Source organism: Homo sapiens, chromosome 3 (genome assembly GCF_000001405.40).
Source record: "Homo sapiens chromosome 3, GRCh38.p14 Primary Assembly".
Taxonomy (NCBI): Eukaryota; Metazoa; Chordata; class Mammalia; order Primates; family Hominidae; genus Homo; species Homo sapiens.
The window spans coordinates 164,810,690-164,835,282 of NC_000003.12; the positions used below are offsets into that span (position 1 = coordinate 164,810,690).

The 24,593-nt window shown below is 36.9% G+C and overlaps 1 long non-coding RNA gene across 1 annotated transcript in view; it reads right to left on the reverse strand.

Moving 5' to 3' along the window:
• The window catches only part of LINC01324 (long intergenic non-protein coding RNA 1324), a 117,386-nt gene extending 96,595 nt beyond the window's left edge, over positions 1-20,791 (reverse strand). Inside the window, exon 1 of the long non-coding RNA NR_126405.1 lies at positions 20,725-20,791. This is a non-coding gene — a long non-coding RNA (long intergenic non-protein coding RNA 1324). The remainder of the gene's footprint in view (positions 1-20,724) is intronic.
• Positions 20,792-24,593: the final 3,802 nt, after the last annotated feature.

Genomic DNA, 24,593 nt, shown 5'->3' on the forward strand with positions numbered 1-24,593 from the left:
TTTAAGAGATTAATTTAAAATCCCATATTCTTTGGTAATCCAAGGATTACCTTATACCATCTACAATCCATTTAAACTTCTTTATATAATTCTTTTATTATGAAGATGGGGAGGACAGTTTTCCCTTAAATATAAGGCAAAATAAATAAAACACTGGAAATTTTAAGATGTGGTCACACTTCTAAATGTAAATATTAATGAAAAATAAATTAATTGTGAAGCAAACCAGATGAGATATGGCAAAAGATAAACAATCAAATGAAAGAATACGCTACAAATTTATGCAGTTACTCATTCAACTGTGTGCAATACCAAAAACAGAAACACAATGGACAACTCCATTGTCCAGTTTAGTTATCTTTACTTGTGTTTTGATTACTGGAACTTAGTAGGGCTATTGGTAAGAAAAATTGTTTTTTTGTTTTTTTTTTTACTGAGTCTTGCTCTGTCGCCCAGGCTGGAGTGCAGTGGTGTAATCTCAGCTTACTGCAAGCTCTGCCTCCCGGGTTCACACCATTCTCCTGCCTCAGCCTCCCAAGTAGCTGGGACTACAGGTGCCCACTACCACGCCCAGCTAATTTTTTTGTATTTTTAGAAGAGACGGGGTTTCAGCATATTAGCCAGGATGGTCTCGTTACTTTCTAATTGAAAAAAAAAAAAAGCAGAAACCTTTCCATTCTTCATTGTGCTGACCTGGAAAATAATGATTTAATGATTCTCTTTTAGAAATGATTTGAAGATAAATGAAGTAATGTCTTTTTGTTCATTATAAAAGGTGGCTATTACTTACTTTGCTAAGGTGTAATTAGTCATTAAAGAACTAGAAATGCCTTTGCAAAAACTCCTCTTCCACGAGAGTATAAAAAAACAGTACATTTCAGTGACATAGGTAACACAGGACTTTTGTTTTTTATATACCATCCACTTTAGATATCAAGTTTCCTTGTACCAAGAAAAACTGAGCATAGAGAAAAATGATCTGAAAAACTTTTCATATGTCAATAGGTTAAATCTTTTCCCATAGATAACCCAATCAATATTTATTAAATATAAATAACATTTAAAATAATAATATTACATAATATTTCTGAGATTTGAGACAGTATATTAACATGAATAAAGTTATTTGATACCAGTAAAATGTAATGGCAAAGTATTTCCCATGTATGATTGTAACAAATTCTAAAATAGTTTTCAAGACAAAACATTTACAAGACTTGTACAAAGTCTTGTATGGAGAAGATATTTAAAAGTGTAAATATTTTCATTTTCTATATTTATTATGGAATATTAATACAGTTTCAATGAGAATCTTTCTAGGATTATATTGTTATTTTTACCTTGCTGGATTTATAATCAGATTGATATAGAGTAATACATGTTTGTGAATAGCAAAAAATTTGGAAAATGAAGAATACATGCCCACCGTGTATTAAAATAAATTTTAAAGCCAGGTACAGTGGCTCACACCTCTAACCCCAGAACTTTGGGAGGCCAAGATGCACAGATCACCTGAGGTCAGGAATTTGAGACCAACCTGGCCAACATTGCGAAACCCCATCTCTACTTAAAATACAAAAATTAGCCAGGCGTAGTGGCTCACGCCTGTAATCCCAACCACTGCAGAGGCTGAGGCACAAGAATCACCTGAACCCAGGAGGCAGTGTTTGCAGTGAGTCGAGATCACGCCACTGCACTCCAGCCTGGGTGACAGAATGAGACTCTGTCTCCAAAATAAATAAATAAATGAATAAATGAATGAATAAATAAATAATTTTAAAAATAAAATAAATTTTAAAATTTCAGGAGTTAAAACAGTTGATTTGAGAGGTACAGGGCAATAATAAACAAACAAACAAAAAGCCCTGGAGCTTCCAAAAGCATGGTGTTGTGATAGGACTTCTTAAAAATGCATTTTATGTGAAAGTTATAAAGGAAAAATGATATGACACCATATTGTTCAATTAATGTCAATATTAGTTGCAGATGTGGAGAATATGTATGGGAAAAGAAAGTCACTGACCTGTAAATCCATGCCAGGGCAAGTAACATTGGCAAAATAAAACTCAAACATTGAATCTTGGGTTTTATTTGCCATGTACAACACTTCAAAGTTTGTGCAACAAGTTTTTAGTGTAATCTTGATGAATTAAGCAAAATCTCATTGTTCTACATTTAATTCCCAGAGAAACTAACAAAGATTTGAATACACATAATGGATTTGGGAAGTGACTACTGGAAACACTACTAAGAGAGTGGGAAGGTGAGATAGAGCAGGAAACAAAGCCAATACAGGTAAATGAAGAACAGATGTCTACTGTGACTCAATCCTACTGGGGACTTTCTGGGAAAATGAATATAATGTGACTTTGAGTTGTCCCAGTCTAGGGTAAACTCAGAGGTATTTACTCACTACCTCCACTCTGTGATTTATTAGGAATATACCCAGGATTAACTCCCTGGAACCTCTGGTTTGCTTCACACACGAACTGAGAATGATTTTGTAGACAGCAAAAGACATTAGCAGAGAAGTGTTGGTGTTTTCAGTAGAAGCCATAAACATGATTTTATGTGATTTATAAGGGGCAACATATGAAGGTGTGGTGACTGCTGAGGGACAGATACTGTACACTGTTACTTTGTTGATATTTAGAATCCAATCAAAGCAATCAATATCCAGACATTGTCACAGTGTCCAGTGGAATCAAGAACATTCCCACCAAGGGAAACAGCTTCCTGAGTTTGGGAAAAGAAGTTCAACTCATAGAAATGTAGTTTTTGTGCTGAAGTGATGCCTCAAGTCAATGATAGAAATGGTCATTATATGTTTAAAGAGCAATAGGATAATTCATTCATAATAATATATCACTATTTTTCTAGCTGCTCAAATCTATTTTTCTTCCTATAAAATTACTCAAATTTCCTTCCTATTTTACTATCATGAAGCTCAGGGAGTGGTGCACGAAGTTCCAACCAGCAATACCTCATGACCCAGGCCATGTGTGCTTTGGGAATGAGCATTAGACCCAATTCAAGTCAGTAAGAACTAATTCCAGGACGTTTATGCAAATTGTAGAAAGAATCATCTTCTTTCCGCTGGTTTAAACCTGGGGGCCACTAACTAATGATTTATTAACCAGTTGACATGGGTCTAAAATTGAAGACAAGGCAAAACTAAGAGAGAGAAACAAACAAACAAACATTAAAAACAAAACAAAACAGATTCTGATGACCTTGTTTGAAACCTGAGATGACCATTTGAAATTTGAGACGAAGATCAGACTGAGGTCAGACCAACCACTGAACTTTCAAGTGCTAGGAACCAATAGTGCTCTTTATATTGCTGAACAGTTTAAATTGAGTTTTAAATGAGTCTGATATATATTACTGAGAGGTGACAACGTGCTAGCAGCCCTTGCTCACTCTGTGTGCCTCCTAGGCCTCATCATCTGCTCTGGATGTGCTCGAGGAGCCCTTCAGCCTGCTGCTGCATTGTGGGGGCCCCTCTCTGGGGCTGGCCGAGGCCGGAGCTGGCTCCCTTTGCTCATGGGGAGGTGTGGAGGGAGAGGCGCAGGCGGGAGCCGGGGCTGCGTGCTATGCTTGCGGACCAGTGCGGGTTCCAGGGGTTGCGGGCTCAGTGGCCCCACACTCGGTGTGGCTGGTCAGCACCTGCTGGGCTTGATTGGCGGATGAGCTCCCTCTGGGCTCATCCGGAGTGCCCGGGCTAGGTGCCACAAAGTCCCGCAGTGAGTGCCAGTGAGAGGTGAAGCTGGCTGGGCTTCTGGGATGGGTGGGGACAGAAAATGGAGCAGGCCAATCATCTGGTAGGGCGTGTTATCAGTGTGGTTTACAAGGACACTTTAAAAAAGATTGTCCAATGAGAAAGAAGCTGCCCCCTTGTCCATGTCCGCTATGCCAAGGCAATCGAACCTTTGTCTTCTGGGGCAGCGCACCTTCCAGATGATCCAACAACAGGACTGAGGGGTCCCGGGGCAAGTGTCAGCTCATGTCATCACCCTCACTGAGCCCCGGGTATGTTTAACCATTGAGGGCCAGGAAATTTACTTCCTCTTGGACACTGGCGTGGCTTTCTCAGTGTTAAGCTTCTGTCCTGGACAACTGTCCTCAAGGTCCGTTACCATTCAAGGAATCCTGGGACAGCCTGTAAGCAGGTATTTCTCCAACCTCCTCAGCTGTAATTGGGAGACTTTGCTCTTTTCACATGCATTTTTTGTTATGCCTTAAAGTCCCAGACCCTTATTAGGGGGGAATATATTAGCCAAAGCTGGAGCTATTATCTACATGAATATGGGGAACAAGTTACCCATTTGTTGTCCCCTACTTGAGGAAGGAATCAATCCTGAAGTCTGGGCATTGGAAGGACAATTTGGAAGGACAAAAAATGCCCACCCAGTCCAAATCAGGCTAAAAGACCCCACCACTTTTCCTTATCAAAGGCAATACCCTTAAGGCCTGAAGCTCATAAAGGATTACAGGATATTGTTAAACATTTAAAAGCTCAAGGCTTAGTAAGGAAATGCAGCAGTCCCTGCAACACCCCAATTCTAGGAGTACAAAAACCGAATGGTCAGTGGAGACAAGTGCAAGATCTTAGACTCATCAATGAGGCAGTAATTCTTCTATATCCAGTTGTACCCAACCCCTATACCCTGCTCTCTCAAATACCAGAGGAAGCAGAATGGTTCACAGTTCTGGACCTCAAGGATACCTTCTTCTGTATTCCCCTGCACTCTGACTCCCAGTTTCTCTTTGCCTTTGAGGATCCCACAGAACACATGTCCCAACTTACATCAACAGTCTTGCCCCAAGGGTTTAGGGATAGCCCTCATCTGTTTGGTCAGGCACTGGCCCAAGATCTAGGCCACTTCTCAAGTCCAGGCACTCTGGTCCTTCAGTATGTGGATGATTTACTTTTGGCTACCAGTTCAGAAGCCTCATGCCAGCAGGCTACTCTAGATCTCTTGAACTTTCTAGCTAACCAAGGGTACAAGGTGTCGAGGTCGAAGGCCCAGCTTTGCCCACAGCAGGTCAAATATCTAGGCCTAATCTTAGCCAGAGGGACCAGGGCCCCCAGCAAGGAATGAATAGAACCTATACTGGCTTATCCTCACCCTAAGACATTAAAAACAGTTGCGAGGGTTCCTTGGAATCACCGGCTTTTGCCAACTATGGATCCCTGGATACAGTGAGATAGCCGGGCCGCTCTGTACTCAAATCAAGGAAACCCAGAGGGCAAATATTCATCTAGTAGAATGGGAACCAGAGGCAGAAACAACCTTCAAAACCTTAAAGCAGGCCCTAGTACAAGCTCCAGCTTTAAGCCTCCAACAGGACAAAACTTCTCTTTATATGTCACATAGAGAGTATGGATAGCTCTTGGAGTCCTTACTCTGACTCATGGGACAATCCCACAACCAGTGCCATACCTAAGTAAGAAAATTGATGTAGTAGCAAAAGGCTGGCCTCACTGTTTATGGGTAGTTGCGGCGGTGGCCGTCTTAGTGTCAGAGGCTATCAAGGTAATACAAGGAAAGGTTCTCACTGTCTGGACTACGCATGATGTGAATGGCATACTAGGTGCCAAAGGAAGTTTATGGCTATCAGACAACTGCCTACTTAGATACCAGGTGCTATTCCTTGAGGGACCGGTGTTTCAAATATGTACGTGCGTGGCCCTCAACCCTGCCACTTCTATCCCAGAGGATGGCGAACCAATTGAGCATGACTGCCAACAAATTATAGTCCAGACTTATGCCGCCCAAGATGACCTCTTAGAAGTCCCCTTAGCTAATCCTGACCTTAACCTATGTACTGACAGAAGTTCATTTGTGGAGAATGGAATATGAAGGGCAGGTTATGCCATAGGTAGTGATGTAACTGTACTTGAAAGTAAGCCTCTTCCCCCAGGGACCAGCGCCCAGTTAGCAGAACTAATGGCACTTATCCGAGCCTTAGAACTGGGAAAAGGAAAAAGAATAAATGTGTATACAAATAGCAAGTATGCATATCTAATCGTACATGCCCATGCTGCAATATGGAAAGAAAGGGAGTTCTTAACCTCTGGGGGAACCCCCATTAAATACCACAAGCAAATTATGGAGTTACTGCACGCAGTGCAAAAACCCAAGGTGGTGGCAGTCTTACAGTGCAAAAGCCATCAAAAGGGGAAGGAGAGGGGAGAGCAGCAGCATAAGTGGCTGGCTGAGGCAGGGAAAGACCAGAAGAAAGGAGAGAGGAAGGGACAGAGACAGAAAGTCAAAGAGAGAGGAAGGAACAGACAAAGTCAAAGAGAGAAAGAGACAGAGACAAAGAGGGAGTCAGAAAGAGAGAGTCAAAGAAGTCAAAGAGAGAGAGAGATAGAAGTAGTAAAAAAACAGTATACCCTATTCCTTTGAAAGCCAGGGTAGATTTAAATCCTATAATTGAGGATTGAAGGTCTTCTCTGTGGCCCTATAACACTCCAATGCCACCTTGTTGTCAGTGTAAACAGGGGTGTAGCCCAAAAGCACTGAGGCCACTGATAACCCATAGCCTTCCTATCAAAAATCCTTAACCCAGAAGGTTTCCTAACAGGGGATCTAAATCTTAATTAATTGCCATACAAAGATCTGACCAGACATAGAAGGAACTCCCTTCAGGACAGGATGATAGATGGTTCCCCCCAGGTGATTAAGGAAAAAAGACACAATGGGTATTCAGTATGTGATAAGGAAACTCTTATAGAAGCAGAATTAGGAAAATTGCCTAATAATTGGTCTGCTCAAACGTGTGAGTTGTTTGCACTCAGCCAAATCTTAAAGTACTTACAGAATCAGGAAGGAGACATCTATACCAATTCTAAGTTAATATGGACTGAATGAGGTCTGATTAATAGCAAAGAAAAATTAAAATCCCAAACTTACAAGGTTTTCAACTAAAGCAAAGTTTGTTAAAAGTTAACAGTGTAACATGCATTATCCTACTACCACACACTCTCAAAGGATTTCTCAGACAGTTTGTAAGAAATAACAAAATCTATCCTTACTCTACAATCCCAAATAGACTCTTTGGCAGCAGTGACTCTCCAAAACCACCAAGGCCTAGACCTCCTCACTGTTGAGAAAGGAGGACTCTACACCTTCTTAGGGGAAGAGTGTTGTTTTTACACTAACCAGTCAGGGATAGTACAAGATGCTGCCTGACATTTACAGGAAAAGGCTTCTGAAATTAGACAACACCTTTCAAACTCTTATACCAACCTCTGGAGTTGGGCAACATGGCTTCTCCCCTTTCTAGGTCTCGCGGCAGCCATCTTGCTGTTACTTGCCTTTCGGCCCTGAATTTTTAACCTTCTTGTGGAGGTACCACTAGAATCGAGGCCATCAAGCTACAGATGGTCTTACAAATGGAACCCCAAATGACCTCAACTAACAACTTCTACCGAGGACTCCTGGACTGACCCACTGGTCCTTCCACTGGCCTAAAGAGTTCCCCTCTGGAGGACACTACAACTGCAGGGCCCCTTCTTTGCCCCTATCCAGCAGGAAGTAGCTAGAGCGGTCATCAGCCAAATTCTCAACAGCAGTTGGGGTGTCCTGCTTAGATGGGGGATTGAGAGGTGACAACGTGCTAGCAGCCCTCGCTCACTCTTGGTGCTTCCTCGGCCTCAGTGTCTGCTCTGTCTGTGCTTGAGGAGCCCTTCAGCCTGCCGCTGTGCTGTGGGGGCCCCTCTCTGGGGATGGCTGAGGCTGGAGCCGGCTCCCTCTGCTCCAGGGGAGGCATGGAGGGAAAGGCGCAGGCAGGAGCCAGGGCTGTGCACGGTACTGGTGAGCCAATGTGGGTTCTGGGTGGGCATGGGCTCAGTGGGCCCTGCACTCAGCATGGCTGGCCAGCGCCTGCACGGCTTGATCAGGGGACGAGCTCCCTCTGGGCTGCTGGAGTGCCTGGGCTAGGTGCCGCAAAGTCCCGCAGCGAGTGCCAGTGAGAGGTGAAGCTGGCTGGGCTTCTGGGACAGGTGGGGACTTGGAGAACTTTTCTGTCTAGCTAAAGGATTGTAAATGCACCAATCAGCACTCTGTGTCTAGCTAAAGGTTTGTAAATGCACCAATCAGCACTCTGTGTCTAGCTAAATAACTGTAAACGCACCAATCAGCACTCTGTGTCTAGCTAAATAATTGTAAACACACCAGTCAGCACTCTCTGGCTAGCAAAAGGATTTTAAATGCACCAATCAGCAATCTGTGTCTAGCTAGAGGTTTGTAAACGCACCAGTCAGCACTCTGTGTCTAGCTAAAGGCTTGTTAATGCACCAATCAGCGCTCTGTGTCTAGCTAATCTGGTGGGGACTTGGAGAACTTTTCTGTCTAGCTAAAGGATTGTAAATGCACCAATCAGCACTCTGTGTCTAGCTAAAGGTTTGTAAATGCACCAATCAGCGCTCTGTCAAAATGGACCCATCGGCTCTCTGTAAAACGGACAAATCAGCTCTCTGTAAAATGGACCAATCAGCTCTCTGTAAAATGGACCAATCAGCAGGATGTGGGTGGGGCCAGATAAGGGGATAAAAGCAGGCCACCCGAGCCAGCAGCAGCAACCCACTTGGGTCCCCTTCCACTCTGTGGAAGCTTTGTTTTTTTGCTCTTCACAATAAATCTTGCTGCTGCTCACTCTGGGTCCGCACTGCCTTTATGAGCTACAGCACTCACCACGAAGGTCTGCAGCTTCACTCCTGAAGTCAGCAAGATCATGAACCCACGAGAAGGAAGAAACTCTGGACACATCTGAACATCTGAAGAAACAAACTCCGGACACACCATCTTTAAGAACTGTAACACTCACTGTGAGGGTCTGCGACTTCATTCCTGAAGTCAGTGAGACCAAGAATCCACCAATTCCGGACAGATTACTATATGGCAGAAATTACATTTAGCTCCATTCTTTGCACCATTAGATTAATAATTTCTATTTATTCAATTCTGAATCAAAGATTAAATGATGATTCAAATTTAGACCTCCAAAAACAGCCCAAACAATTAACAACAAACAAAATCTACTTCAAAACAAACCCCCAAAAAAGAGTGCCCCAAATATATATATATATAAAATATATATATAATATATATAAATGAAAAAAGAAAAAAGAAAAAGAAAAGGTTATAGCATACTTTGATCTTTTATATATATATCAATATGTCTGTAATTTGAATGCGAGAAAATCACTTTTTTACCTGACCTGGAAGATAGTACATATAAGGGAAAGTATTATGTTTTTAAGTTTATTAAGCTTCAAAAAATACTATGTATAAATCTGAAAGGCATTTACCACATTGAAGATATTTGAAAAAGACAAAGAATTAATTGCACCAAACAAGAGGCCTAGCAAATGAAGAAAACTTGACTAAATATGAAAGTGGGTAATTTATATTAAAATAAACACAATTGTGGGTAATAATATAAATACATACCAATCTAACTAATAATTAACCAATTAGTCAATTAAAGACATTAAAACATTTGTTTAAAAAATCTGATATTTGGACATTAACAAAATATTAACAACACTTGATTATGACAGAGTTTGATTAATAAAAGCATATCATTTCCAGAAGTGATAGCAATCTATAAGGCCTACTATAACCACTTGGAACAAATTAATAATATATATCAAAATATAAAATATTCATAATCAATGGAGCATTTTTATATTTAAATATTGTCATATGGAAGTACTTACAATAATTACAAAAACTTCACTCCATATTGTTGGTAATAGCAAAAATAAAGGAAGCAAATGATAGTCAATCAACAATTTTACCATTAATTTTGGTGTTTTCAATGAACTGCTTTTTAATATTTAAAGTCATAGATTTATATGTACTTTAAGATAAAATTTACCACAGAGTAGGAAATAAAACACAAAGCCAATAGCAAGGTATTATCCTTAATATAGTGTAACAGAAAATAATATTTGCTCATATATAAATAAGAAATCTGAAAATACAGATAAAAGACAACAGTAATTGTGAAAAATCCAGGAATATATCATGCAATAAATAATTGTGGTTATTTTGTGACTTCTAAGATTATAGCAGCCTGGTGCAGTGGCTCTTATCTGTAATCCCAGCACTTTGGGAGGCCGAGGGCAGATCACTTGAGTCCAGGAGTTTGAGACCAGCCGGAACAACATGGTGAAACTACAGCTCCACAAAAGATATAAAAATCAGCCCGGCATTGTGTCATGTGCCTGTAGTCCCAGGTACTCAGGATGCTGAAGCAGAAAGATCACTTGAGCCTGGGAGGTGGAGGTTACACTGAGCCAAGATTGCACCATTGCCCTCTAGCCTGGGCAACAGAGTGAGACCCTGCCTCAAAAAAAAAAAAAAAAAAAGAAAAAGAAAAATGAAAAAAGAAAAAAGAAAAAGAAAAGAAAAGGTTATGGCATACTTTGATCTTTTATATTATATAGTGTATGTATGCACTATAATTTTTAAAAGTATAATTAGCATGTACCATTTTTAATAATCAGAAATAAATTACACAGTTAACCAGAAACAGGAAGTAAAGGGGACTGGAGCCCATTACTCAATGCCAAATTTATAATAAATAAACAACATACTTTCTTTTTACAGAAAGAACAGATGCCTTAGTGTTACAGTTGGAGATACTTAATTATATAGTGAGTATTTGCAATTTTCCCAAAATTATAGGCTCCTTGAGAGTCGGGATAGAAAAAACCTTAGTATATGTACACCAAAGCGTCAAGTCCAGTATTTGATTCACATAGGCAGCAAATTAATCCATTACAGAACATGTGAATGAAATTTAATTTGGAAGATTCAATAAATATTCAATAATTATATTTTACCTGGCATTCTTATCAAATAATTCACAACTTTCAAAAATCATCAACATTAAATATGTATTAAAAAAACAAGACTCCCCCATTCTGTTTCACAACCATGCTCCCAAAAGCAATGATTTTAGTCATTTCATATTTGTTTTGTATTTACCTCTACTTTAAATAATATGCTTTCATAAAAATGTTTTATCAATTTTAGAAATCGTATGGATGTTACCATTTGATTGATAAAGATTTAGCTTACACTGTTCCTAAATTTCCTTATATCATCGTCCCAATATATGTGTGTATGATGTTTGTGTGTGTGTGTGGTATGTGCTGTGTGTGTGGTATGTGGGGTGTGTGTGCACGTGTGTGTATTCTGTAGCTGGGATTTAGTAGGAATAACGTAGCCAGTTAATGTACTAAAATTTTGTTTGTTTGTATGTTTGTCTGTTTTCAACAGCTTGATGTATCTGGTGGTAATAAACTGCTTTGGATTTTCATTTACTTAGAATTCTATGTTCTTATATTGGATTTTCATTTACTTAGAATTCTATGTTCTTATATTGATCTCTTCCATGTAGTGAATCAGATCTATAATATAACAAAACATATAATCTCTAATTTTTTCTTTATTTAAAATTATTTGAATGCTCACTATTCCCAAGTGATTATGTTTATTTTTTCCTCCAAGAGATTTTCCTCATGATGCACTTTGTCCTACTGTTTCAAAATGGACTATGTAATTGCTTTTGAGTCGTCCTATACATTACATTATCTAAAATTTCTCTGTTTATTTTACTGGGCTTAATCCCCATTTTCCTATATTCAATTTTATCATCTTTTGTTGGTTCTGTCCTTCTTTTGCTGGCAGAGAGCCTTCAGCATTTCCCTAAAGATGAGTGACCAGAATATAAATATATTTAATCCTCATCTATCTGAAAATACCTTTATGCTACTCTTACTTTTAAAAATTACATGATTGAGTAGAATATTTTAGTTTGAAAATTACATTTTGTTAGTATTTGCAGGGCATTACTCCATTACCTGCCAGATGCTCATTTAGTTTATTGTACATTTTTTCTGTAATAGTTTAGGATATTTTTCTTATTTCAGTTGTTTTAACATTTTATTATGCTATGCCTTAGCTTTGGTTTTTCCTTCGTTCTTTCCTTCCTTCCTTCCTTCTTTCCAGGTGTTTTTGGAGCTGGCAATAGGTAAATGCTTAAGATAGAGAGATTATTTCCCTAAATCAAGACATTTTGAAATTACTTTTGTTAGTATTTTCCCTCCAGTTTACTCTTTTCTGTCAGTACCCCTACAGTCAGATTGGTAGATGAAGTCTACAGAACATACAGCATGGAAAGGCTTCCTCAAATATGGGCTTTACATCTTATTGTGGTGAATTCAAAGTGAATTATTTATTGTCAAGGGTCCAAAACCTGATGGTTGCCTACATTCAGAGCTCAGATGGACTCCCTTGGGCCACAGCCACTGCCAGTCTCCACAAAGCTGACACAATTGGTTCTTTAAATGCTCCACAGGCCCTACAACTTCCAGTTCTTGGGCTGGCCCTGAAACTTATCTCAGGATGAGTTCTGACTTTGGCTGTTACATGAACCTAATGACCAATCCCCTTTCCTTTTTTTTCTTTCCCCCTTCTATGGTACTTCTATCTCAATCTTTATGCCCAAGATTTCAAAAGCTTCATATTGCTCCCTTTTTCCAACAATAGAGATTGATTTCTCATCAGAAAAAAAAAAGTCCCAAACTTATAAGGATAAAAGCTTCCTGACATTAGTATATGTGGCCTTCACAGCTATGTTACTCTTCTCCAGCTATAATGTTGAGCGCAGCAAAGATTCTTCCCCTCCTCCCTGCTTAAAAATGATGTGTGTGTATGTGCGTGTGTGTGTGTGTGTGTGTGTGCGTGTGTGTGATTGTTTTCAGTCTTTCCCCAGCTGTAATGGGTTTTCATTAGTGCCCTAAGGGCAAGAATTTTTGTTGCCCTTCTCCCTGAATATTATGGCTTTTTTTTTTTTTTTTCAACAACAGAGGTGACAGAGTTGAGTCTAGAAGCTGCTACCCTTTCTATCTAGGCCAGCACCAGGAGGAAAACTTTCTTAAGCTTCTCCCTAACCATAATTCTTACAAGATAACTTTTTTTGTATTATGTTTTTCTTTACCTTAAAAAATGTTTGTTCATACATTGATATGAGGGAAATCAGAATATTCATGAGCTTCACAATTTGAGGTTTTCATCAGCCCTCCTATGGGCATTTTATTTTGCTTATGAGAAAATTAAAATTATATTGAACTATGATCAATTTGTACAATAAGAGATGTACCCAAACATTGTGAAATCTGTCCTCTTCTCAGCAAAAAATTTATTCCAGCATTTTATTCCATTAGTATAACAGCTTACATAACTTAGATCTATTCAGAGTGTGGAAGTAAACCATTGTTTGCATCATCATTGGCATTTCTATGAGCAGTTATAATCTAAGAGCTTATTTGCTTCCAAAAATCATTTTCCTTATTTTAATTCACAGTTTCATGCCTTTGGTGCCTATTGTAAAATATCCCTTCATATTTTCTCTTCTCATGAAATAGCTTCCATTAACTACAAGTATATACTTAAACTGCAATTATTTTTTATTCATATCTTTGAGAAACTCAAGTTAAATATAATTATAATTTGTAATTATATTTCCTCTTCTGCGTGATTATCATATACCCTCAGGACTTGTTGATCTGTCCTAGTCCATCTGGCATATTGGATGTCTCATCATATATTAAATAATACTAACCTCATCAAAATACATTAGCATAATGTTACAATATCTGATACTATGAATCACAAGAAATTTTTCAGTGATTGTTTTTAATAGTAGACATGAATGTAATTTAATTATGTGAATGCCCATCAGTAACAAAAATTAAACTTGATTAAATATGATGCATGAACTATTCTACAATATTAAATATTTTAGATTTATGCCAAAATATGGTGTTTACTATCCTGGATGAATACACATTTGAGAGAACTGAGTTCTGGAAAAAAAAATGCAATTATTAATAAACGATTTTAAGTGGAAGATATTTCACCTAAGTTCTAAATTACTTGCTAAAATCTGAAAGCCAACAAATTTTAACTGCTGTTTTTATTTGCAATTCCCAGCTAAGGTATGTAGCAATTATAAGAAGTTACAGGCTTTAGCACCACATCTTTATTTATAAAATAAGTGTTTTCCTTTACTGTTGAAAATTTGATCAGCTGCTATAAAAGCAACTAGAAGTACTGTGGCAGGCCAGGCCTCAGTAACACAGGCCTCCATAACAACTGTTTCAGCACTGACTGAATGGTAAAGTTAAATATTAAATCTCAAAGAGTCAGTGCCCTTTTACAAAGGCTGGAACGGAACAAAAGCCCACCAAGAGTTTTGCCTAGGCCTTGCCTGGAACTTGAAGCATGACAAGATAATGAAGGAATTCTTAACAGGACCTGTTTAGGATTAAACAAGTTTAATTGGGGGTCTGTAGAAACTCCCCAAGCCTCCACAAACAAGCTTATTGAGGATCTAAACAAATCACCCCAGCACCTAGACCCATTTAGATTAAGTGAATTTACTGAGGCTCCAGAGGAAGGTCTTCAGGACTCAGATCTTAATTTTAGATTAGAAGGAGTTAATTACTTATGTCTTTAGATGAATTCACAGTCAACACATAGACATATAGCTTAGAAAGTATATAAATTCTGGAAAACTTTGTAATTTTGAGTTGGTCTGGTGATAATTTCCAGGCTTTCTCCCTGTAACCGGTTACAGAAATAAATTCCCTTTTCTCCCATTTCATGTGCATCTCATTATTGGGCCACAAGAATAAGCAGCCTGACCCTCAGTTTTTTTCCAGGAACAGTACTGGAAATGATGCTATTTGTTATTATTTGAAAAGACATTTTCTCTTGTTGTCAGTAGATCACTTCTTTTCACTCTACACTTTGTATATCTGATATGTAATAAACTTATTAAAAATACTTCTGGAAAATTATATACATGCAGACACCCACACAGAGTAATAAATGACAAAAAATGTGAATAGTACTTTGAGAACTATATAAATAATGTAGGTATATATTCAATGAATGCTTTTTCGTTGTCTTTTTATCATGTAAAATATGCCATGCTGGACAGTAAGAATAAAAAGATGATAATTGGTAGGGTCTTCCTTTTAAGAATTTCAGAGTTCAATGGGACAATTATCAATTTCTCTGAGAGATAACTGTGAAATATCAAAAAAATTGAACTCAGAAAAAAAAAGTTGTTTTTGCTATTGTTATTTATATTTTTCATCAGAATTTGGAATACTATATGTCTCTCTCCCCTTCTACATATAAAAAATAGATAACAAAAATGGAATTTTTGTGTAAATTAGGCATAATAAACTGGAGCAAAAAAACACAAAGTCTCCAACACAGTCCAACTCCCTCTCAAAGTAACTGAAATGTCCTGAATCTTTAATTCATCTCTAGGAAGGATGGGTTTATAAAACCAGAGAGGGATGGTGTACTATAAAACCAGAATTTAAAAGTTGGCATAAATAAGAGCTATCCCAGATTTATCAGGGAAGAAGACATCCTAGCCACTTAATGATAAGAATCTCAGTTCCATTGAAATGACTCTGATCATTCCTAATATGTAATTTGATACTTCAGGCAATTTGTGACTTATTTCATAACAAACTGAATCTATCCAATCTGCTTTGTTCATATTACTTGCTTTGTTCATTATCACAACTAAGCAATGAGAACTTCACCATGAGAATGTGGCTTCATCTATTATTGGACTAAATATCAATATTCATTATCACTTTATCAATTAATATAGGTAAAGCAAAAGTCACTGAACTCTTAGGAGTAGACCAAAAAATGTGTGCTGAGTGATGACTTCCCTTGATTTCATACCTTGCCTAAGTCCTAATTTTAGAGAGTTATGTATAAACTGGAGGGTTACATATGAACAGCTCAACATGGGAGACATCGACAACATCATAGGCATATAGATAGCTATAAGAAGATAATCTGGACCAAACTAAGACAGACATAATACCCTACCCATCCTACATATTGAAAGCTCATGTTATATTTGAGATATTTCATATAGAGGGGTCTTACTGGGGGAAGCAAGGTTATCAATTTTGAAATTTAAAGAAAATGTTCGTAGCTTTGGCTGTACTCAGCATATAACCATCACCTCACTAAACACACATTGGGAATTCTCAAACCTTAGAATTCTCAGATACTGAGTGTTTGCAGGGTAGGGATGGGTAGTATTTGTTGATTTTGTCTTCTTGAAATGAATTGTCATTACCCACATGCATTCTCCTTGCTATTTATGTGTCATGTTGTTCTTCCACTCAGCGATGGTGACTAGATTGAGTCATCTATGTTTGCCTAAATTTCCATCAATATAATCACCACTCTACCATTCCACCGTTGCCTTATTTGTCCTTTTAATGGGAAGGTTCTGACCTCATATTTATCTTCTGGATCTTTCTGGGTTCCCTGCTTGAAGTTTCTCCTATGCCCTACCGGTCTTTGGAAAGTAAATATCACAGAAAAATAGCTGAGCCACTTATCACAATCATTACGTCGAAAGAATACTGGTTCTAGGATAAAAATATATTGTCCCAAACCACTGATTTTGTTACTTAGAAGCTATAGGAACTGACACCAACTAAGCTCCTGAGTTGTCATTTCTTCCCTAGTAAAATGGGATAGATCATATATTATTCCAAATAATCTTCCACGTTAATGTGTCACCACAAACACACTTCTATTATTTGCAAGTATAAAACAGTTGTTCAGTCACAGAAACCAAATCAGTAAATGGTAAATTGATACCAAGATACCTAAAAGTAATTTTTAAATTGCATCTTCAAAAAGTTTTTCTTTACCTTTGGCTGTTTAGCATAAGGTTGGAAATACTCTTATATATTTTACTTACTTTTTTATAAGTCAAGATTACTTAGAGTTATGTATTTATTTATTTACATTCTAGTTACCTCCAAAAAGAAAATGAACGGGTGCACCATAAAAATGTAATACAATAAGATTAGATACTATTAATAAAAGATGCAAGATAATTTGTAAATGGGAAGAAAAGAATATATCAGGATATTTGATAGTTGAATTTTACAACAATCAAACACGAATAATCTCTAAGTTGTATACCAGTGGGATGTTATTCTGAAGAGCTCAGCTTTATTTTTGCAATGCTTATGAATAGCTATTTAGCGAAAGCAAAAGAAAATCTCATTTACATATTAGTCATTTATACTTAATTCACTGCGATCTCAGTTACATATAGTAAGATGCTCAGTTTCCAAGACAGAGGAAACCATGAAGTTGCTAGCAGTTTGCATACAGTGAAGCCTCAGGAGAGGTTATAGTGTGCAACGTTTAAGGCATGGGTTTTGTAGCCAGACTGCAAGGTTGGAAATCTGACTCTGCCCCCTCATCACCTGCACAGACTTGGGCAGTTATTAATATCTCTATGCCTGTTTCCTTACTTGTAAAGATCCTAGGAAAGTCTACCTCACAGTGTTGTTTTGAAGAATAAATGAGTTAACACACATTGAATAGAGTAGTATCTGTTCTTAGTCATTGTTTGGTATCAGTTTTTAAAAATCAAGTAATACTGCTATAGAATAGATTTCTCTTAGAAAAGTCCTTAATTTAGGTACCTCAGTAAAAACAAATGTATTTTGATTGTCCATCCAATGTCCTGACACTTGACCACACTCCCCCAAATTTGAATTTAGCTGGCGTAAATTTACATAGGATTATCACTGTTTTTTAAAGCTGGGGTATAGTCTGTGTGACTGTCCTTCATTGGATGTCTCAGATGGGTGAGGGAACAACAAAAACTGAGAGAAGAGCGTCTTTCTACTTTTCATCTTTAGCAGTGGAAACCTATATTTATTACTTTGGACCAAGTGAGCAAATATTAGAGATCATTGGGAATATCTGGTAAAAATAATCTTGAAATGATAGTTCTCAAAATAGTGTTATTTAAATGACACGAGGCCTTATTTTATATTTCAAAATAAGGTGGAGGAGATATCAGATGCTGATATTGTGGTGTAGGACATATCAGATACTATATTGCTTTGTGTGGAATTCAAAAATAACATTTTTGGTTCAGTTAACAGAAAATCTCTTTTCTTTGGTTATAGATATAGAACCAGTGCTTCTGCATATCTATGCAATATCACCAGCACTTTATCTTTTTTATTTAGAAACGCTAAATAATAACAACCAAGTTATCATTTTCACGTGTATAAGTACTTGAGTTTCTTTTTGCTAAAAGTTAAGTTTATGTTGTAACAATAGCTTTAACCGAATAGCTAGGATTATTTACTTTTTATGCTTATGAAGGTTTTCAATTGTATAATCCATAAAATTATCACAAGTCAGAAACAATCCCTTGGGTATAAATCACAAACTGAAATATCTCTTCCTCAGAAGTTAAAAATTCCATCTTCAGAAAGATTTTCTTTACTTCTGGCTGCTTGTCATAAAGCAGGAAATGCTCCAGAGGTTATTGAAGAGATAAACATGTTCCAGGCCACTCAGTAGACTTATATGTAAACAATAACTTTAACTGGAGATACTTGAGGTCAATGGGATCCATAATCCCATGCTAGGTGATTAAGGGCCTTTTAAAATAAGAACTTCTGATGGATGCTATTCATATATTACTTGCAATGTTCCCCGACAAGACATTGCTGCCAAAATAGCCTAGTGAGCCTCCTTCCATGGGTGGCTCCCCTCTGGAGCACGTTAACTATTACTCAGAAAATTCTCTAGTACTCAATGTATATGTGGAATTACTTTCGAATTCAGGATTTTGGGGGAATAATTCTGACTTAAAAAAAAATGTTCTCTCAGATATCTCTGATTCCTGTTTGATTTTGAAAATATGAACAACAAAACAGATTCTACCCTTAATAATCTCAGGTCATACCCCTTCCAGGGACAATTATCTAAGTTCCAATATAAGCCATGTAATTAGTTAAGGGCTTTGTATATTGTTATCTTTTTAAACTATAAAAATAAATAAATATGTAACATTTTATAACATTATACAATGTTACATATATGTGTTAAAAATCACACATACTGACCACAATAACTTGATTTCTCCAAGAATATCTTGTATTGATTTGAAAATAGAAATACATTTCCAATCTTCAGCAATACTTACCTTGATGGAAAATAACAAAATAATAATAATATAGTAATAATAATATTTTCTAGTTAATAATGGTGAGTCTCCTAGGTTAAGAATAGAAAATTTAGTAAAACTGGATACATGATTATATCAAATTTACTTCTATATAATTTAAGGGCTTAAACATTTATTCAATTTCAAAGGACTTTTGGAATATAAAAGATGCACTAACTGGATTCTTTTCTCTTATAAAATGAGCAGGCTTAATTAAGAATCAAATGACAAAGCTATGTTACACAGGTTTTTACTAAAGGAAAAGGAGTAATTGCTACAATTGGCAAAGAAAGAAGTCTCTCATAGGTAGATATTGCATAATATCTACACGTATTGAAAATCTAACCACCAGAAAAAAATTACTTTAAAGTGTAAAATGTAACTTATATTCTAATGTGGATCTTCATAGAAAAAGAAATATAAAGCACAAATATAGACTGCATAAAATTGGTCTTTTTAATATCTTTTAATATTGTGCTTACAATTTATGGTCAATTAAGTTTTGGTTAAGTCTTCAATTCTTCAGAGAACACTCAAACTAGTAAAACAAATTGTTTAATTTTCTCTGATTTTTCTAGTTATTTCTATGAGGATTCTCATCTATCAGTTTTGTAATCTTATATAAATAACGTTGGTGTAGTAAATTATTAGAAAAAATTATGAGATGTATAATGTATATTAAATTTGTTTAAATTCGACCCAAACTATTATGCATTTTAAAATTTTCTCTCATTAAGTTCCTCAGTGATGTTTTGACATTTTATTACTTAAGTAATATCGTTAATTTTTTTTTTTTTTTTTTTTTTTTGAGACGGAGTCTCGCTGTGTCACCCAGGCTGGACTGCAGTGGCACAATCTCGGCTCACTGCAAGCTCCCCTCCCAGGTTCATGCCATTCTCCTGCCTCAGCCTCATGAGTAGCTGGGACTACAGGTGCCCGCCACCACGCCTAGCTAATTTTTAACATCATTGATTTTTATCTTAAATTCCCCCAATATTTTAAACCTACTGTATCCTCTTTTGTTATCTAATCTGTGTGGCGTTATCACTATCGGGACAAAATTGGTTTCTGCATTCTCTTAGGGGCAGGCAGTGAGTGAAGTCTATTGATGTCAATTTTGTTTCTTCTAGTTCATGGTTTTCTTCTACCTTGATTAGTTGACAAGCTTTGAAAGACTGAATTACTGTTTGTACCAAAACAATAATATCAAACAGAGTGTCCCTCCTATGTGTATTAATTACAAAAAATACATTAAAATGACTGAAATAGAGACAAAAAATGATCCTAGGAAATAGGCACTTTCTATATGTGTTTCAATATTTTATTATTTCTGATATTTATAGCTACTGTTAGTTAAAATTATGTGTTAAAATTTAGAACATATTGGGAAATTATAAAAAAAGGTAAAATAATTTACATAATTATATTTATAATATATTACATTGGTTAAATGTGTATAGAAATGGAGGTAACATAAGAATTCCCTGTCTCTGTTGAGCAAATATGAAAGAAGAAAAGATTTGTAATCACACATGAAGTAAAAAAAGCAATTCTGAATGTTAATAGTCAGAAAATTTCTAGGATGACAAGTCTTACTGTCTATCTGTGATGTCAGGAGACAGAGCTTCAAAATTCTGAAGTTCACAAGTGCATTCAGGTAGAGGAGTGTGAGGCAGGTCAGGAGGCAGGAGACAGGTATGGCTTTGTTCCGGATTACGCTTTCTCTGTCCTGGAAGTCCCAGAATGAGATCTGATATTAATTTTGACATTGACCCCTGATATGGTTTGGCTCTGTGTCCCTACCCAAATCTCATCTCAATCTGTAATCCCCACATGTTGAGGGAAGGACCTGTTGGGAGGTGATGGGATCATAGGGGTGGTTCCCCCATCCTGTTCTCCCAATAGTGCATGAGTTCTCACAAGAGCTGATGGTTTTAAAAGTATTTGGCACTTCCCTTTTCACTCTCACTCTCTTTTGCCACCACGTAAGACATGCCTTGCTCCCCTGTTGCCGTCTGCCATGATTGTAAGTTTCCTGAGGCCTCTAGTCATGCTGAACTATGAGTCAATTAAACCTTTTTTCTTTATAAATTAACCAGTCTCAGGTAGTATCTTTATGGCAGTGTGAAAATAGACTAATACAAGCACTGTTAAGTACATTTTTAAAAACTAATATATCTGGTTAAAGTTGGTTGAACAGAATCAGGCTAATAAAATCTCATGTGATGCCATTTATGCTTTTGTCCTTCAAGGGCCTTATAAGTCTACAAAGATCCATCCAGAGAAGTTCATACTCTGGTTAAAAAACTATGCATAATTTTTCAGGCCTGACAATAGGCAATCACAAAGCCTCTTCCTGGCCAGACCCATGGGGAATAACTGTCTTTTCTACCACAGACATAGTACACAGTCCTTGCTTTAAAGTTTCTGGGGGGAGTTGTGGTCAAGGACTCAGGCCTTCCTCATTCGTCATGCTTTTCCCATATTTACATTCCTAAGCTTGGCATATTCCTTCCTCTATCTTTAATCTGTAGCCTTGGACACACGTCTGCTTCAGGCACCTCTGCTGAGACTTCTTTATGGAGAAATGAGAAATCTTGAAGAGTATTTGCCCGACTGTGACTCAGTATGTAATACATGTCTGCTCCTAACTCTTTCCCCATGCCCTCCCCTTGACCTCAAAGTCTGTACATCTGCCTGAGCCTTTTGTTCTGAGTTCCCTCAACGGTGAGACCACCCCCATGACTACACTGATCTACATGACTCTAGCTAAATGTGCTGCTCCGTGGGGGAAAATGGAACAAGGGATGAGTTGGTGCTTCCACTAATTTAAGACTCTTGCTTATACCATCATAGTAAGTAATTAAAGGTTTAACTCTTGCATTTCTGATTTGTTGCTTTATTCAGCTGCTCTGATACCTGACAGTTAAGCTTTCTCTCCTAGCTAAGATGGAAGAGAGACATACCTTTGAAAAAGATGTACATGCTGAAACAAAACATGAAATAAATCACAGGGCCATATCCATTTTTAAATTTCCTAATTCTGACTTAAAAGCAACTGTTCTGCTGTGGTGACAGCAAAAAGTAAAATACAAAAATAAAAGTGAAAGTGTCAGGAGCAAGTTAACATCTGTGTTTTAAAGATAGTGGGAAACCTGGAAAATATAAAGCATTTTATTAGCAATTAATTGCTATCTGTGACTCAGATGACATAATATTGGAGTCACAGGAAACTCTAATCAATGAGACAATCTTACATTTTATCTCTATTCCTCTGCTGTAGCCCTGAGCTCCAGAAGCAAACTATAATTTTTCAAGCATAATGAAGGAAAGTGGAACTAAGTCATAAAAAAGTGTTTAAATTCTCTACTAAGTCTGAATATTCTTTGTAACTATAGAAAATAAATAGTCACATGGTTCTGTAAACTTTTCAATTGGTCCTCAAGAATGCTATGTCATTAGTTTATATGTCATCTTAAGTTTATATCCTATATTTACAAACAAATGTTAAAATAAGCAAAAGAAGCTGTTTAGTACATTTTTCTATTGTCTGTTGACTCCACTGCTATAAGATGTCTTCCCAGTAGACTGATTATTTTTTATGTTCAATATCCAGTCCACTAATTCTTCAGTAGCTATGTTGGTTTCCGAGAAAGTCTCCATTTCTCGGAAATTGGCACAGAATCCAGGTGCTGCTATTATGTCATTCACACTATACTTTTCTGTTTAAATATATTTCTGTTCAAATAAATTTCCATAAGTTCAATTATTCTTCAGTCTCAAGAAGCATTTTCAAAAAAAAAGCTATTTTTATAATCTTAGGTTTGAAATATAACACTTTGGTAGGTTCTTTTTAAAATTCTCTGCTCGCTTCTCATTTAGAAATTTTAGGTCTCTAAGGATATTCTTAATGATGAAAGTATAAAGTACTTTTTTCCTTGGGCTTAAAAAATTGCTATGTGTGTTTTCCAGTGCTGTTATTCTGGAGATATAAATGTCACCTAGAGAGCAGTTCTTCTATGGCTCTATCTCACCCACTTTGTAAGAAAATCAGTTCCTTGAAATTTCTCCTTAATATTTCTGTCAATCTAGAGGAATTGATCTCCAATAATGTCCTCTAAAATGGGACTTCTATTTTAATAGTCTATCACTCCTGTTAAGGATGCAAAGAGCTTTCTAATTGCTACTGATACTAAAAGTAGAAGATATGGTGTCAAGATCCCTTGAAGGCAACAATGAGTTGATGCTGCTGGTTCTGTAATTTGTGACAAATCTGTAGATGCCCAGGGTTTAAGGAAGTGAGTTTCACAGCAGGAGCAGGATGCCCAATGTTGAGGAGCCAAAAGTGTAACTGTAACCATAACCAGTGTTAACTGCTTCTATTGCCAATTCATTGACTACTGTCATGCTGAACCTACTGCCATCTTGATTCCACTGTTCACACTTAGACTAATGCCACTCACATTTTTCACTGGAGTTGTTGCACACACATCTTATTAAAATGCTTCCTTGGGTTTCCCATTTGTTTTTCAGATTTTTACCACAGCAACCCTTTATGCCCTATTTGAGCATAACTATACATGACCAGATCTAGGATATATTGTAAAGATCAGGTATATATAGCTCTTAGAGTAAGTCCAGCCTTTCACTGCTTATGCAATTTTTTTTAAACAAAGTTTTGACCTTTCCTAGAAAAGCCCTTGTAACATATGGAAATAAAGCCCAATCATTCATCCAGATGTTCTGCTTGCTACAAAGAATGCAGTTCTTACTCAACCCGGAAAATTCACTTTACCCATTACACACACCAAACTGTACCGTTTTTCTAACCAGGGTTTTGATCCTGAGACTAATTAGGCCTGTTTTATGGAAAGATGATAAAATTAACCCTTGAAATATTATTTGCTATCATAAACTCCAAAGAGATCATTTTAATATTTCTTTTACAAACCTATTCATGTGTTTAGAATGTTGCATACTTATTACTTACTGTACCCCATACAGGAGAAACCTGTCATGTTAAGGTACAAAACTGGATACATAATTATGTTATCCAATTATCCTCTGTAAAACCAGTGAGTGCTTTACAGAGGATGCAATTTGTTCCTAATGCCTGAAAACAACCTAAGAAAAAATGAGCCACTAATATTATTAAAGAATCAAAATATAAAATAAATATCCTTTATTTTCCATGATGACCTGTATACTTACTTCAGGTTCTCTCTTATTTAGATGGTCTAAACTGGAGACTTACTACTCAAGATGTATGGAACAGCAGCAATGGCATCATCAGGGAGCTTGTTGGAAGTACAGAATCTCAGGTCTTACCCAAACCAATGGAGCCAGAATCTTTTGTTTTGTTTTGTTTTGTTTTGTTTTGTTTTGTTTTTCAAGATGGAGTCTCACTCTGTCACCCAGGCTGGAGTGAAGTGGTGCAATCTCAGCTCACCGCAACCTCCGCCTCC